General features: G+C 39.4%; 1 long non-coding RNA gene across 1 annotated transcript in view; it reads right to left on the reverse strand.

Moving 5' to 3' along the window:
- LOC105370777 (uncharacterized) overlaps positions 1-16,208 on the reverse strand; it is a 556,255-nt gene that overhangs the window by 444,183 nt on the left and 95,864 nt on the right. The gene's annotated exons all lie outside the window — the stretch shown is intronic.

The following is a 16,208-nucleotide window of genomic DNA, read 5'->3' on the forward strand; positions in this document are numbered from 1 at the left end:
AGCTAAACATGATCTGGGAGAGGACTACGCTTGAGGACGTATCAGGTCTCTACTTTTCATGTTTTTCTCTTCCCATTCTACTTTCCACAAAATATCCAGAGATTCTTAGAAGGGCCAAATGTTGAAGGTGGTCATGCACAGGCCTAGCTTGATTCCCAGCCAGGGTAGGAGTTTTCTAAAAATACTATCCCCATCAGATTCCTGATACTTATAAGTTTAAAAGTTGAACAAAATCTTATATACACAATGTATAATGAGTCTTAAAATGTTATTTCCTAGGAAAAGGAAATCTATGATTTAAAGTTAAACCAAAGTATAAATATGTGGTATCAGAGATAAGGAAAATCATGGTCAGAAAACCTGAGTGCAGACCTCAATTCTGCGACTTTTCCCCATCTTTGTGAATCTGGACAGTTTATATATCTTGAATCTTAGCTTCTTGGTTTGCAAAAAAAAAAAAAAAAAAAAGCATAATAATTAATGCCATGGAGATTTTATAATTAAAGGGAGAATAAAACTAATGCACCAAACTAATATAATCAATATTGCCAACAACGAATGATGTTTAGTCTTCATTCTTACTTTATCCATTAGCAGCATTTGATGTCCTTGACCCCTCTCTGATTCTCAAAACGCTTTTTTCCCTTGGCCTCCTGGATCCTACACTCTCCTAGGGTTTTATCTTCCTCCTTTGACTGGTTGCTTCTCAGTTTTCTTTATTGTTTCCTCATCTTTCTGGCATCTTAACATCTGAGTGTTCTAGGGCTCAGGAGTAGGAAATCCTCAGCAGAAGCAGACTGCAAAGTCAAACCTTTCAAGCATTCAGAACCAGCAAAGTCTGCCTGTGGGCAGACAGAAGAGCTGTCCACTATGTAGTGAGAATAAAACTCTACCCAAATGTAGATGTCTGCTAAACTCCAACGGTGAAAGGAATGGGATGTGACCCCATGATCAGGATTACCCAGAATAATCCTCACTTCAGTCTGGCCGACATCCACAAGTATCTTATATTTGGCCCACCTCGAACTGAGGAGGACTCAGACACATGTTACTGCCCCAGCCTGAGGCCATCAAAGAAAACATCTCAAAGATTCTCTTTTACCAAAAAGATTCATGTCAGATTTTCAGACTAAGGCCCTTGGTACTAATGAATTTTGAGTTGGAGTGGTAGCCTTGGCAAAATAATGATGACAATTCAATTTAGGCCTCCTAATATGTGGATGTTCCTGGAGGTGGAGGAAGAAAACTTGGACACAACTGGAATGTGTGTTAGACAGCAGAAATAGAGGCCATGACCAGCTTAGGCCCTAGGTTCCTGAGATACAATAATTCTTCTGAAATGGTGTCCTTTTACTCTGTCTTCCTAGAAGAACTCAGCTCTACAAGTTTTAAAACATTGCTGGGAAGAATGATCTCCATTTTAAATTCTGGATACACGGAGCTCAAGATGGCAACAAATCCAACACTAAAGAAACCGATACTCCTTAGGCACTTACTTTATGCCTAACATTGCTATGTGTGATTCACATGTTATCTCCATTAATCCCCATAATTACAGGGACACACTAGTATGACCCCCACTTTATAGGTGAAGAAATTGAGGCTCAGAAAATGGTTAAGCCACTTACTCAAGGTTGCCCAGCAAGTGATGGAGTCAAGATGAAAATAGGCAACCCGATTCCATAGCCCACATGCTCCATGGCCCTGGTGCTCCATGCTCTGTGCACAGACTGGCTGAGGCAGAGCTGCAACAGGATCCCTGACAGCTAAAGTTGCCATTACAATGATGATTCGTATCCTTCATTTAAATATAGATGAACACCACAAAATGACAAATGTATCTTTATGTTAAAGGTGTGTCCATTATGATGCAATAATTGGCCCTTTTAGCATTTTCATTGCCACGAATCACACATTATGTAACTATTACTAAGCTAATCCCACTAAAGCCTATTAATGTCAGAAAGACTTGGGTGTTTCACTACTAAACTGTCTCTGAGGATGTTTTAACACTTGTTCTTAGGCTGCATTTAATATCTGCAATTATGGGGAAAGGATGCCATGAAAACTATCCTTAAATCCTTTTTTATTTATTTTGTTTTGAGATGGAGTCTCGCCCTGTTGCCCAGGCCGGAGTGCAATGTCACAATCTCGGCTCACTACAACCACCTCCACCTCCCAGGTTCAAATGATTCTCCTGCCTCAACCTCCCAAGTAGCTGGGATTACAGGCGCCCGCCACCACACCCAGCTAATTTTTGTATTTTGAGTAGAGACGGGGTTTTACCATGTTGGCCAGGCTGGGCTCGATCTCCTGACCTCATGACCCACCCACCTCGGCCTCCCAAAGTGCTGGGATTACAGGTGTGAACCATAGTGCCGGCCAAATCCATTTTTAACACAACCAAACAAAACATCAACTTGATTGAGAGCTCCAGGACATTGATTGAGAGCTGTTGCCATATGTTTTTAGGCTCCAGTATATCAAGGCTAAAGTGCTCACCATTGCTAGAGGACAAAAACACACAGCAGCTGCTCAGCAATGCCTAAGCCTGTGGCCCAAGTCGAAAAGAATTAGACCAAGTATTACAGTAATCAGGCCTCAAGCAAGCAAAAGCCTGGCTCAATACTAAGAACCCCCTACTAATGGGGAGAGCACACCTCCATACTCCGGTGCCTGGGGAAACATTTCCCAGGAGTGTGGTGGTGTTCTGCCTGCTGGGAGATAGATACCATTAACCTCTCTTCTTACTATGTTTGAACTCCACTTGCACTCTTATCTCTGAATTTTGTCTTGTTTCCACTAAGTATTGCTTGCCCCTTCTTCTTCATACTCAAAAATATGGATGTAATATACCTGCCTCTAAGGCCCCTTTGAAAGTTCATCTTCACCCCCAAGTTAAACAGAAAACCCTCATGCATGTGTGCAGTCTGATTTCATCTTATGTGGCGCTCCTCCTACTGACAAAATATGTTCTCACTCTGAGAAGTTTCCCTGTGCCGCTTTAGTAATAAACAAATCCACCTGTGTTTGCATCCTAGGCGTTCTCAGTGTACCACACTTGAGCTCTGCCTCCCCGGTTAGGCATCTGCTCTGGAAGCACGAGGAATATTGCTTTCAGTCCTCTTATATTCCTGATACCCTTGACTTTGCAAGGCCTAGCAATACGCGGCACTTACTATAAATTAAATAAATAAAAATCCATTTAAGTCAATCAAACCAACAGCTCTCTGTTTCTCCTGTGAAATGGAGAGGCAGATGAGTAGCCCAGCATTCTGCATGGTTCCCCTGATGCACTCTCCCTGCCCACTGAAGCAGCCCTGCAGTTCCACCCAGTCATTCCCTGCTTCTCTGCACCATAGTGACGGGTCCACCTAGAAGGAAACTCCCTTTAAAAGTTGCTCCATTAAACTGATAAGAACAGATACTACACTTGATTTTAGCCAAGAGGATATGGAGAAATAGGAATGCTTTTACACTGTTGGTGGGAGTGTAAATTAGTTTAACCATTGTGGAAGACAGTGTGGCGATTCTTCAAGGATCTAGAACCAGAAATACTATTTGACTCAGCAATCCCATTACTGGATATATACCCAAAGGATTACAAATCATTCTACTATAAAGACACATGCACATGTATGTTTACTGCGGCACTATTCACAATAGCAAAGACTTGGAACCAACCCAAATGCCCATCGATGATAGACTGGATAAAGAAAATATGGCACATATATATCATGGAATACTAAGCAGCCATAAAAAAAGGATGAGTTCATGTCCTTTGCAGGGACATGGATGAAGCTGGAACCATCATCCTCAGCAAACTAACAGAACAGAAAACCAGAAACTGCATGTTCTCACTCATAAGTAGGAGTTGAACAATGAGAACATATGGACACAGGGAGGGGAACATCACACACCAGGGTGAGGGGCTAGCGGAGGGACAGCATTAGGAGAAATACCTAATGTAGATGATGGGTTGATGGGTGCAGCAAACCTCCATGGCTCGTGTATACCTATGTAACAAACCTGCATGTTCTGCACATGCACCCCAGAACTTAAAGTATAAAATAAAATAATTATAAATTTTTTTAAAAAGTTGCTTCATTCTGGGGACAAGAGACCACCAAGCTGTTGCATGTTAGAACAGACCTACTGGGAGGCAGTAGAGGGCACTGTGGACTCATGCCCATGACACCCCCAATAAGCACACCTATGGCAAAGAGGAAGTGCCTAAGTCCACAGGTCTCGAGTTTGTAGTGCGCATACCTCCTGCCCAAGTCTATTGCTGCTGTTGCTTAGCCCTTTCAATATTCTTTTCTTACATTTTGTTTTTCTTAACTGTATCAAAGCTTGTGAAAAATTCATATCAGTTATTTCAATTTTTCTGAAAGATTCAGTAAATCAGATATTGTTTTAAAACAATCATCACCAAAGCCACGTGGCTTAGTGAGGATTGTTTTAAAACAGTCAATGAGGAAGTTAGGAAATAATTCTTCATCTCCAGACTTAATTGACTAAGTCCCAAAGATTATTACCCTATATTATCTCTTAAATCACACCCCCTCTTACTTAGGACAGGAACATACCCCTGAACAACAGTGCTCAGCTGAGGGGGTGAACAAGGCTAAAACCCAGCCAATCACTGCTGGCAAGGCCTTGAGCCCTGGCTCCAGGCTGCACCTGCCTTAGGAAGGGGCGTCTCTCTACGACACTGAATGGCCTCCTGTGGATCACCACAGACCTGCTTTAACCACCTTAACTGCAACCACCTTGTTCTTGGCCCTTATTTATACGTTGACCACTATGACCATCTCCTAACACTCCTAGAGGTAACTTAAACTGCATACACACACATATATTCATAACTGAACAAGCTTTATGCATATTTACAAATTAAATGTGCCATCACTGAAATTCAAATTAAAAGCATTAATCAAATGTGACCAACATACTGTTTGACTAAAATTGAACCTCTTCTGCTCCAGGGAGGATAAGGAGCTGACAGCTATGTTACAAGATCTATCTAGTTTTGTACTATATAGACCATGTGTTATGCAATGACTCAATATCCAATCAATGTTTTCTCTGATAAAGTCCTTCCAAACTGTCTGTTGGCATCATTTGGCCATTATGAAGTTTATGTTTGTTTTAGTCTCATTATGTGGAAACAGTTAAAGCAGTCCTACTGGAACCCAAATAATCTTATGTTCAAATGTCTACTTGGACTTAAATCTCATTTTAGTACACAGGCAATAAAATAATGATCCCGATAATCCAGATCCAGATAATCCAGAAGGTGCTTATTGTAGTTAAACATAAACAAAAGTAAGCTAATTGCTAAATTTAGAGCCCAAAAGGGCCAGACCACCATCATACCTGAATTTATAGATCAAAAGAAACCAAGTTGAAATCCAACTCTTTCCTTACAGGTTTTAATATTAGATGGCTACAGGAGGACTCAGGCTTAGAAAACACCACTTCTCATGCTTATGGTATTAAGCCCTCCTTTCAGTAAATAAGGAAGGGGATATATCCTCCATGAGAAACTTAAATAAATATAGCTGTTCTTCCACTGACCTATATTTCCTATCAGAGAACACCAAATACTATGTAAATAGAAAATAACTCTACTGTTGAGATAATCTATAAGAGGGTCAGCAAACCATAGCTTTAGGGCCAAATCCAGTTCTTGCCTTGTTTTTGTACTTCCTGAAAGCTAAGAATTTTTACATTATTAAAGGATTATTAAAAATGAATTTATAATGGAGACAGTATGATAGGTCACAAAGTCTAAAATTTTCTACCCTGTCTATGTAAAGTTTTCCAACCACTGAACTAGATAATACCCTAATAAAGAATATTACCAATGAAAACTACATAGAGCTATTCATCATTTCTATGTAAATTCACTGTCAAAAAATGATCATCAGAAATAAGATGGACATATTTTACCATCCATGAACTTTTATTTCTTGGACTTCTATGTAATAAGGGTTCATCAGTGAATGTCCATGTAGAACATTTTTTGTCCAGTCAAGTCTAATGTGTTTAAACTGGCCAGTATTTGATAAGACTAACATCTTTATCACAGCCTCCATCCTGAACTGCTTGCCTTCATCCAACTCAAGCCCCATTACCTAACGTTTTCCTGAATGTTAGTCCTCCTGAGAGCTCAATTTGCCCTCTTTGGGCAGCATTGCCTTGATCACAAATCTGCTGCTCAAGACCCCTTTTCTGGCTCTGATCTCAATTTCCATTTGCAATCACTCATTTGATTATGCTCTTCAGAACAAACCAGGATTGTCTCACTAAGTCTAGCCCGTTCTTACAAGACAGTTCTTACTGTACTTACTGTACAATGCAGCTGATGAATGCCCATACTGGGATGAAGCCAGGCATACTGTCACCCAGTGACTTGGAAATTTAATACTCAACTGATGATGCCAGGATAGGAAGCCAGCCAAACTGGCTCAGTCAAAACAAAAATCTTCTTTCCTTTCTTTTGATTTTTGCTCCAAAATGGCTAATTCATTTGATGGGGAACTTGAGTTTTCTTTATAGAGTGAAATTGAGAAAGATAATAATTAATTTTGAAAATATATACAGAAACATTGGAGCTCTAAGGCAGTCTGAGGCAATGCCTTTTAACTAGGAGCCAGAGATCCCTATGACAATGCTTCTCAGTGTTTGGTCCAGCTCACTTAAACCAGAATTCTCTTGAGTGCTTATTAAAAATTTGGAATCCTGGGACTAACTCTCTAATATCTGATGAATCAGAATTTTTGAGAATGGAGTCCCACTATTATTGTGGTTGATAAAACTTCTGGACCAAGACTTAAGAGGCCAACATATGGTCTTTAGGGGATTTTCTTATCCACTGAAATTATTTGCAAAAATACATGATGGTTGATGGTTCGAAGTGCATTTTTCTAAAATGACCCTATTCATCTTCATCAAATTATCAAAGCAATCTATAGTTTGAAATAAGAATCACTTGTTTTAAAGGAAAATAAAATTGAATCAAAATACAAAGCTTAAATTTCTCTGAGCACCATTTCCTGCATGACTGGTAAGTCTTGCCTTCTCTGGGAAGCCATTCTTCCTTCTTGCCCATGTGCCATACAGCTCTTCATACATACCAGCAGCTTAGACCTCCAGGAATTTCCATTTCACCCAGGGAAGCAGCTTTGGTAACTTCTCTTTGAGATCAGAGCTCCCGTATGGTGAATCTGGGGTCTCAATTTACTGTTCTCTACTCTAAAGTAATTTGTATGAAGTGAATGATTGTCCATGTCTGGGGCCACAGGGCCTTTCTCATGGGCCACAGCTGGCCCCATCAGCTTCTAACACCTATGAGGGAAGCACAGCTGTGGGGAAAGTATTGGACTGTTCAGATTTTCCTCCTCAGTTGGTGAGGCCACTCACTTTATTTCTTTGCTCCAGTTCCTCTTTAGTGAAATAATTTTTTTAAAAAATCCAACTCTACTTACCAACCAAAGTTTATAAGAATAACAAACATTAGAGTGAGAAAGGTAGAGATTGTCCAGTTGCTACCTAACCCCAAGCTATCAAAGCTCAGTGAATTTAAGGGACCCTTGCAAAGTTTTCAGCTTGATAAAAACTGTAAGAACTGTAACATCATTTCATTCGATCCTCAAGATGCTCCAGTGAGAGATGCACTAGCTGATTTTATCAGATCATTTAGCTCTTTCCACTTCATTAAACTAGCTCAAAAAGGTATAATAAATATGCAATATCTTCGACAATAAAAGGCAAGTATAAATATAATGCACTGTTTTACTATTATCTCACCTGTGACTCTGAATTTGACTTCTGTTTCCAAATGGAAATAAAGACTCATCAGCCACATGGTGTAATAAACAGGAGGAGAGGTAGCCATCTCCCTGTGGAAAAGGACCCTTTCTTAGGCCACTTTCCTAAGTGCCATTGATTTGGTCACTCCTTCATTCCTCTCTGAGCAATTATCTGACCTTTTAAAACCTGATTTCTCATAACCAGGCTTCCTATCCACAAATCTTGCCTCAACCTTTTATGATATTTGCTTGAGGTAATACCAAACTTCCTTCCCAGAGTTCATGCCACCGGGCAATGTAGAAGGCTGGAGGAGAAATGAGGCTGACGTGGAATATAAAAGTCAAAAAAACAATGAGGCAATGTAGACAGACAAAATCTGACTTCACACATTCAACAAAACTTCTCATTCATTAACAAGCTGACAAGCTGATATTCTTGATTTAATATGTATGTCAAAGTAGCCACCTGCTTAAAGCCAAACAAGGCTGGAAAGAGAAGAAGTAACTGTGGGCTAAAAACCTTGGCAAAACTCAAAATCCCAACCACTCAAAATAGGATATTAACTTATTAGTCATGTGAGAAACATTATGTCTTCCCATAAGTGTTTTCCACAAACTGACTGGGGAATGTACACAGAAAAGGATAAAATAAAATAAGCATACAGACTATTAATAGTATAAACTCCATGAAGTCCTTAAACAGAGGATGCCGGAACATACTTCCCAAACCAGTGTGTGTCCCTAAAGAAAGTTCATATTAAAATCAAGTTGAGGCTGGGCACAGTGGCTCACACCTGTAATCCCAGCATGTTGGCAGGCCAAGGTAGGCAGATTACCTGAGGTCAGGGGTTTGAGACCAGTCTGGCCAATATGGTGAAACCTTGTCTCTACTGAAAACACAAAGAGTAGCCAGGCATGGTGGTGGGCACCCATAATCCAAGCTACTTGGGAGGCTGAGGCAGGAGAACTGCTTGAACCCGGAAGGCAGAGGTTGCAATAAGCCAAGACCGCACCATCGCACTCCAGCCTGGGTGACAGAGCGAGATTCCATCTCAAAAATAAAATAAAGTTGAATGTTTGAGTTTTTGGAAAGGACCCACTGTATATATTCTCCACTAATATCCTTGAAACTTTATACTGTCAGCTCTGTCCTCAGTTATTTTGAGAATGATTACCAGAATTCACTCCCTTTCCCCATCCTCCTCCCTCCTCCTCCTCCTTACCTTTCCCCAACCACAGATCTTGGTTTAAATATTCTTCACAAGACAAGCAAAATAACAAATACATTTGATGGATTTCATTCTGCTCCTAGACCTTGTGACATAACTGAGTTAAACATATTGCTAGGAGAAGCCAAAACTAGCAACAGATTTGTGTTGCTTACAATTTTTAAGTTCATATTGAATGCAGGAATGCTTTGTTATCCAGATTTAATCTATCTTAGAAAGTCTGCTAGTGAATTTATATATTGGGACTGTATGTTTCATTATTTTAAGTGGAAATAAAACAGCAATGTGTTCCCAACCCTTCTAAAAATTCCAACCAATTTCCCCCAAGCATCACTAAAACACTTTGCAACATCTAACTAACAATTCACCAATTGTCTAATTATTTATTACGTAATGTGCTCCTTAGTGGATATGTTTATATGCCAGACCAACAGTAATACACAGTTTTCAAATATTATTACATCTTCCTTCTACACTGCAACAAACATGTACTCTGATATAAAGGAATTATTAAACAACATGCTAAAGTTAGACAATGAATACAAATAACACGTAGCAAGAGAAACTAAAAAGTAAGGCAGTTTTTAAATAGTTGCTTACTGACTGAAGGGTTGCCCGAGCAAAATGTGACTACAACAGGGGCTTCTTGATGGTATATGAAGGTGAGCAAGAGTGAGCTAGTAAAAGAGAGACAGTGGGCATTTGAGTTCACCCATGTCCAAATGCAAGGAGCTGATGGACGGCCTTCTCCTCCTGCATTTGAGACCCCAGAAGTGGTGGTTATGGACTACCCTCTGAAGCTATAGACACACTAATACATAATCCCTTCTAACCTCTTACCAATGCATGGTCTTCTCTAGGGCTCTTGGGCTCACTACTTTCCTCACAGACTTTTCTACATCCTTAGAAGAATATTTGATTTAATAATGGGGGAAGATGCAAGGGGATTCAGAAGTGAAGTACTCCATGTGTCCACAAGTAGAGAAGAAAGATATTGGTAAAATCTAGAAATGTTTATAATCAACCTTAAAATAATATAATGGATAACACACACAAGAGTGGATTATCAAAACTGGGTTGCTCTACATTTAAGAAAAAGATTAATCCTAGAGACTTACATGTGCTATCTAGGCCAGTGAAGGGAATAGACCATTAAACCAGATGGAGGACTCAGTCAGTGACATTTGACCCTGACAATCACCATCATACATAATTTGTATTTACAGAAAAACTTATACTTCCAAAAATAACATTATCTTTCTGGCCCCTTAAAAACAACACTATCATGTGGGTAAGGTCAGCTAGTATTTTATCCATTTTAAATATAGACATTATATATTCATAAAAATTAATAGACTTGCCCAACCTTACACAACAAGTCAACCTAAGAAATAGGATTAGGATACCAGCCTCGACACCTAGTTTCATGCTACTTCTCCTACAAAAAGACAAGGATGGTCTCCTGGTAGCAGCTATACAAAGCAAAAGGCTTCAGGGTTGGTTTCTGCTTTTATTTTGTTGGGTGGCAAAATGTTGAGCCCTTTTGGGCATTCTGTTCTGAATCTGCCTATGGTAGATTTACCTCTGGCATCAAGTGACCTCTCACCTTCCTATGATTCAATCTTAAGAGTTGGTAGGAACAAAAAAAGAGAAAAGAAAAGGTTCCCTATTGCCAATAGTACCCGACTACTGTCAATATTAATTTTAATTAGTGCCTCAATATTATCAAAATAAAAATAATTTGTTTACATTTCTTAAAAAAGAAAAATAAAGCCGGGTGCAGTGGTGCATTCCTGTAATCCCAGCACTTTGGGAGGTAGGAGGATCCCTTGAGCCCAGGAGTTTAAGACTAGCCTGAACAACACAGCAAAACCCCAACTTCACAAAGAATTAAAAAATTAGCTGAGCAGAGTTGTGTATGCCTATAATCCCAGCTACTCTGGAGGCTAAGGCAGGAGAATCACATGATCCTGGGAGATGGAGGCTGCATTGAGCCATGATTGTGCCACTGCACTCCAGCCTGGGTGACAGAGTGAGATCCTGTCTCAAAAAAACAAGCAAACAAAAAAGAAAAATAAAATAAGAATGGAATCACATGAGAAAGGCTATTTTTTAATTTTATTGTGATGACTGAGTTCATAAAGTTTTCATATCTCCTTCAGATTTGAGATGGCATGAAAGGTTGAAGGTGCCATGCTTTAGATGTGGTTTTTCCTTGCCAGAACTCATGTTAAAAGTTGATCACCAAGGTGGCAGTGTTAGGGGGTGGGGCCTAATGGAAGAGGTTTGGGCCACAGAGGTGGATCCTCATGAAAAGACTACTGCCTTCCCATGGGGGTGAGGGAGTTCTTTCTCTTGGGGGAGTGGACTTGTTCCCACAATTGTAGACTGTTAAAAAGAGCCTGGTTTCCTTGGTTTTTCTTTCTTGGCATGTGATCTTTTTGCAGATGCCTGCTCTCATTCCACTTTCCATGGTGAATGGAAGCAGCATGAATTCCTCACCAGATGCAGCTGCCCAATCTTGGACTTTGCAGCCACCAGAATCATGAGCCAAATAAACTTCTTTTCATTATAAATTACCCAGCCTTAGGTATTGTGTTATAGTAACACTAACTGGTCTAAGACAAATGTCAGTAATAGCAAGTCAGCCATAGAAAGCACAACAGTAGTCACAAAATTTTCCCACTTAAAACCCTGTGATGACCACCCTCTGCCTAGAAAATGAAGTTCAAAATTCTAAGTACAGGCATAGAAAATCTCACCCTCCCTGACTTTTTCAGTCTTGTCTCCATCTAGTTCCCAACACATTTTATGTTCTCGGCTATGTCTCAATGTTCGTACACCTCTGAAGATTCTAGGAATGTCACATGTAGCTTTGTTCTTGGTTTTTCCCTCTGCTTGGAATGGTCTTCATCACATTATACATCTGTCAGGGCCTTTGTTATATTTAAAATTCAACCTCTGTGTCACTTTTTGGACTTCCCATAGTTTCCCTCATTGCAGCATAATCAACATCCATTTTGGTTAACCACACTTCTTTGCGGCTTATTCCTTCATCATAAGATTGTTTATTTATATGTCTCAACCCTCTATCCCTCCTCACATGGATAATGATCTTTATGCAAGTGGGGCCACAACCTACTTATCTTTATATCCTCAACCCCAGCACAGAGGCTGGGCCATTTTTTTTTTCCTAAATGCAATGAACCTAATGTTCCTTTTATTTGATTTTCTATAATTGTTTTGGGAAGAAATACCAGTGGGATCCACAATTGTGGACCTTTATGTATTGGTTCAACAAAATCAGTTATTAAGTATATGTCAATAAAATCAATGTCAAAACAATGAAAAGCCAAAATCAATCTGGGTATTGCCAACTCGTGCCTCGTGGAATCTTACTCTTCAGCGAGAAGCACCAGTTATTGCTGGTCAATTGGTCTACAGTCGGGGTAAGGAGAAGTTCTTCCCAGTCACTTTGAGTATGAACAATTATGGCTGCAACTAAACTCTAGCCCTAGGAGAACATTTTTTTTTTTTTTTTTTTTTAAGACAGAGTCTCGCTCTTTCACCCAGGCTGGAGTGCAGTGGCAAGATCTCTGCTTACTGCAAGCTCCGCCTCCCAGGTTCACGCCATTCTCCTGCCTCAGCCTCCCCAGTAGCTGGGACCACAGGCGCCTGCCACCACGCCCGGCTAATTTTTGGCTAATTTTTTTGTATTTTTAGTAGAGACGGGGTTTCACCATGTTAGCCAGGATGGTCTCGATCTCCTGACCTCGTGATCCGCCCGCCTCGGCCTCCCAAAGTGCTGGGATTACAGGCGTGAGCCACGGCGCCCGGCCTAAGGAGAACATTCTTGAATGTACATTATGTCAGATCACTAAAAAAAAACAAAAGATATAAGATACAAAATATAGACACTTTTGTCCTCTGCTTTGACAAGACTACAAAATGTAAACAAATGCAGAACCCCTCATTGCTACGACAACCTCTAATGATCTATCCCTCTAAAGATCATGCCAAAGATACTCAAACCCTGAAGCACAGGAATTCATCTAGGGTCCAAAGTCAACATAGAGATATGGTTCCATTTGAATGAGAGATCTAAAAATGCAAATTATCTGGAGCATTTTTCACATAGTTTGTGATATACTTCCCCAGCTTATTTTTGGCTTTTGTTACAAGAACTTAGGGAACGGCCCACTGAGGGCTCAGGCATAGACAGATGCCTTGGAATGTGCCTGCACAGTGACAGAATTTCTGACAAGTCAGGATCTCTAACACTGGAAACAGGGTTCCTACTGATTCATTCACTCCTAATATAGCTCCAGGGGGTTCCTACAGGATCCCAAAGCCCCCCACTCCCTCCGCCACACTGCAGAGTTTAAGGATATGCCCTCATAGCTACATAGCTCTGACCCAAAGCCCTTCCATGTGGAAAACACTAATCCAGCTAGTTGCCATGTTTCTCTCACTGGGATGTGTTCCCATTTCTCCTCTTGTTTAGTGTTTTAGAAGATATGAGAAGGGTACCTGTCTTTGCCCTGGGAGGAAGACATTTTTGTAAATGTCAAATGGACATTTGATAGAAGAACTTATTTAAGGAATCTTGAATTACAAGCAAAGGGGCATGTGGAGGGGGAAAGATGAAATCATCTACAAGATTTTAAAAGTGAACCAACTACCTGAATTATAAAATATTATATATATAAAAATATTTAATTATAAAATGTAATAAAAACTTATTACAGCCAGACCTGGTCTTTGGAGAGGGATATAATCCGCTGAAATGGAGAATGATCACCCACTTTCTACCCACAGATTAACTGCATATTTCTTATGAATATGCAAAGTGGCTACTCCATACTGCCTGTATGTGTAGCAGGGAATTGATATTTGCTACTTTGAGGAGCCTATTTTGATCACAGTGATATGTGTACAACCTGAGTATACTCAGATATTGACCATTCCAGAAAGAAAAGAAAATACCCTTGATGTCTCTCCTAAGGGTCTCTGCTTTTTCAGAATGAACTTTATTTTGACCGATGAGATGTTCTTTAGTGGGCTCATAATGACTGAGCACCACATAAGAGGATCAAAGCATGGTTCAGCTAGTTCCCTGTGGCTATTGGTCCAGTGGTGGTAAAAGTGAATATTCAAATCAGATATTTGAAAAAATATCTCAAATCATCCAGAAATCAAGGAAATGATATTTCAACAGAATAATTGTGTAGGCAGCAGAGCACTGAATCATATCATTTATTTTGACACAAATTATATTAATATATTCATATTAATATATTATTAATTATAAAAATGTTTAATATATTAATAAATTATATCATTTATTTTGACATAAATGTGGTCTCTTATATTGACCTAATTATCTCAAGTGTATTTTGATTTTATTTTCTTTAACAGCACTAAACATAGTACTGGATGGTGTATTTATTTTTTAATTAATATTTGTAGAAATAAATTAAGCTGGGGCACATTCTCAGGAGAAAGAAAGGGGTAGCACTCAACTGGGGCTCATTCTGGTGCCTAGATTTTATTTGGCTCTCACTTGCCTTTGGATTTTGCTCAAGAAGAACAGGGAAAAGAAGAGCTATGTCAGTAATTAATATTCCATAACCTAAAGTAACTGAACTTTAGCAGAGAACTAAAATCTGTGCTTAGAGGATTTATCTAAAGGTGTTTTACGGGCAGATGGTGCCTTCTACATCAATCTTCATAAAATTAGAAGTACAGTGATTTCACCCCCTGGAATCCAGTTCACACTTTAAAATCAGACAGAGCAGGATGCTAATCCCAACCCTGCACTTGCCAGCAGTGTAACATCATACAAGTTGCTAAAGCCTTTTAGGACTCAGTTTTCCTGTATGTGAAATGGGAGGAATGATGTTTCTGCCTCCGGCGTGGCTTTGGAGGATTAAAAGAGATAGTACATGTAATATACTAAGCACCTATCACATAATAAATACTCAAGTTAATATCATAATTATTCTTAAAGCCAACTAAAGCCTTCAGTCCCAAACTTGGTTTAGTTTACTGATCACAAGATGTCCAGGTGCTGACCTGGGTCTGGCCTGTAGGTAAGGATCTCATTGTTGATTTCATTCTTCTATCTCTCTCGACTAACACAAGATCTTACTAAGGTGAACAGTTACTAGTAATTATAATAAATGCAACAGGCAATACAAATAAGTGTCCAGATTATGAAGGAAACACTTATAGAAGCCTTGAAAGACTTAATTACAATAAAGCAAAAAGTTGTATTCAAAACTGAAATCTAAATTATTCCCTAATCTACTGGCTTCTCAGCCTCCAAACATGACTATATTAATAAACATTGTAGACTGACCAATTCATACATGAAAATATTAGCTTCTGCCTTCACTATTTATAATGTTTAATTGTTTTGTTAATGCACACAAATGGGACATTGATCCATGAAATTCTGTTTGATATTTGAGTATATCTGATGTTATAATCCCAAATCCCACAAGACATATCTGCTTTGCCCCTGAGGGTGTACTGCCATGTAAAAATGCCCAGTATTCACTCCTCACTTTATCTTCCCAAGATTTCCTCCAAGGTGGGCAGGACTGCCCTTATGAATATGCTCAAACAGAACTCTAAAGGAGACTGTTTTTCTCTCGACGAACCAGCCTGGGTTTCCATATTCCTCTCACCTCACACTTGGCATCTGCCCACCCTCAGGTGTGTCCTTCCAGGAGAACGGCTTGGAAAACTACAGAGAGTAAATGCCTTCAGCTGAATTATCAGCCAACACAATCTGAATTTCACATCTGGAATACCTTTTTCAGACCCACCTTTCTTACATACCACAAGGAATAATAACTATGTCTGAGTTGTGCAAAGAGAGTAATAATGTGTGAATTTTTTTTAAAATTTCATAAGCAGAAGGATTTATTAATGGATGAATGTATTTTCAGTCTTCCCCTCCTTCCCAAGGGTTCTTTTTTTCCACTGGCGCTTTCTTTACTACACTTAATTCTACCTATCATAAGTTAATTGGCCCCAATCCATGGACAATAATACAAAAAATGTTTTTTATATTACATTTTTATAATGGGAAAAAAATGCTTTTTAAAAAACTTTTTTTTGTTTTGTTTTGTTTTGTTGAGACAGAGTCTTGCTC

This window comes from Homo sapiens, chromosome 15, assembly GCF_000001405.40.
Source record: "Homo sapiens chromosome 15, GRCh38.p14 Primary Assembly".
Lineage (NCBI taxonomy): Eukaryota > Metazoa > Chordata > Mammalia > Primates > Hominidae > Homo > Homo sapiens.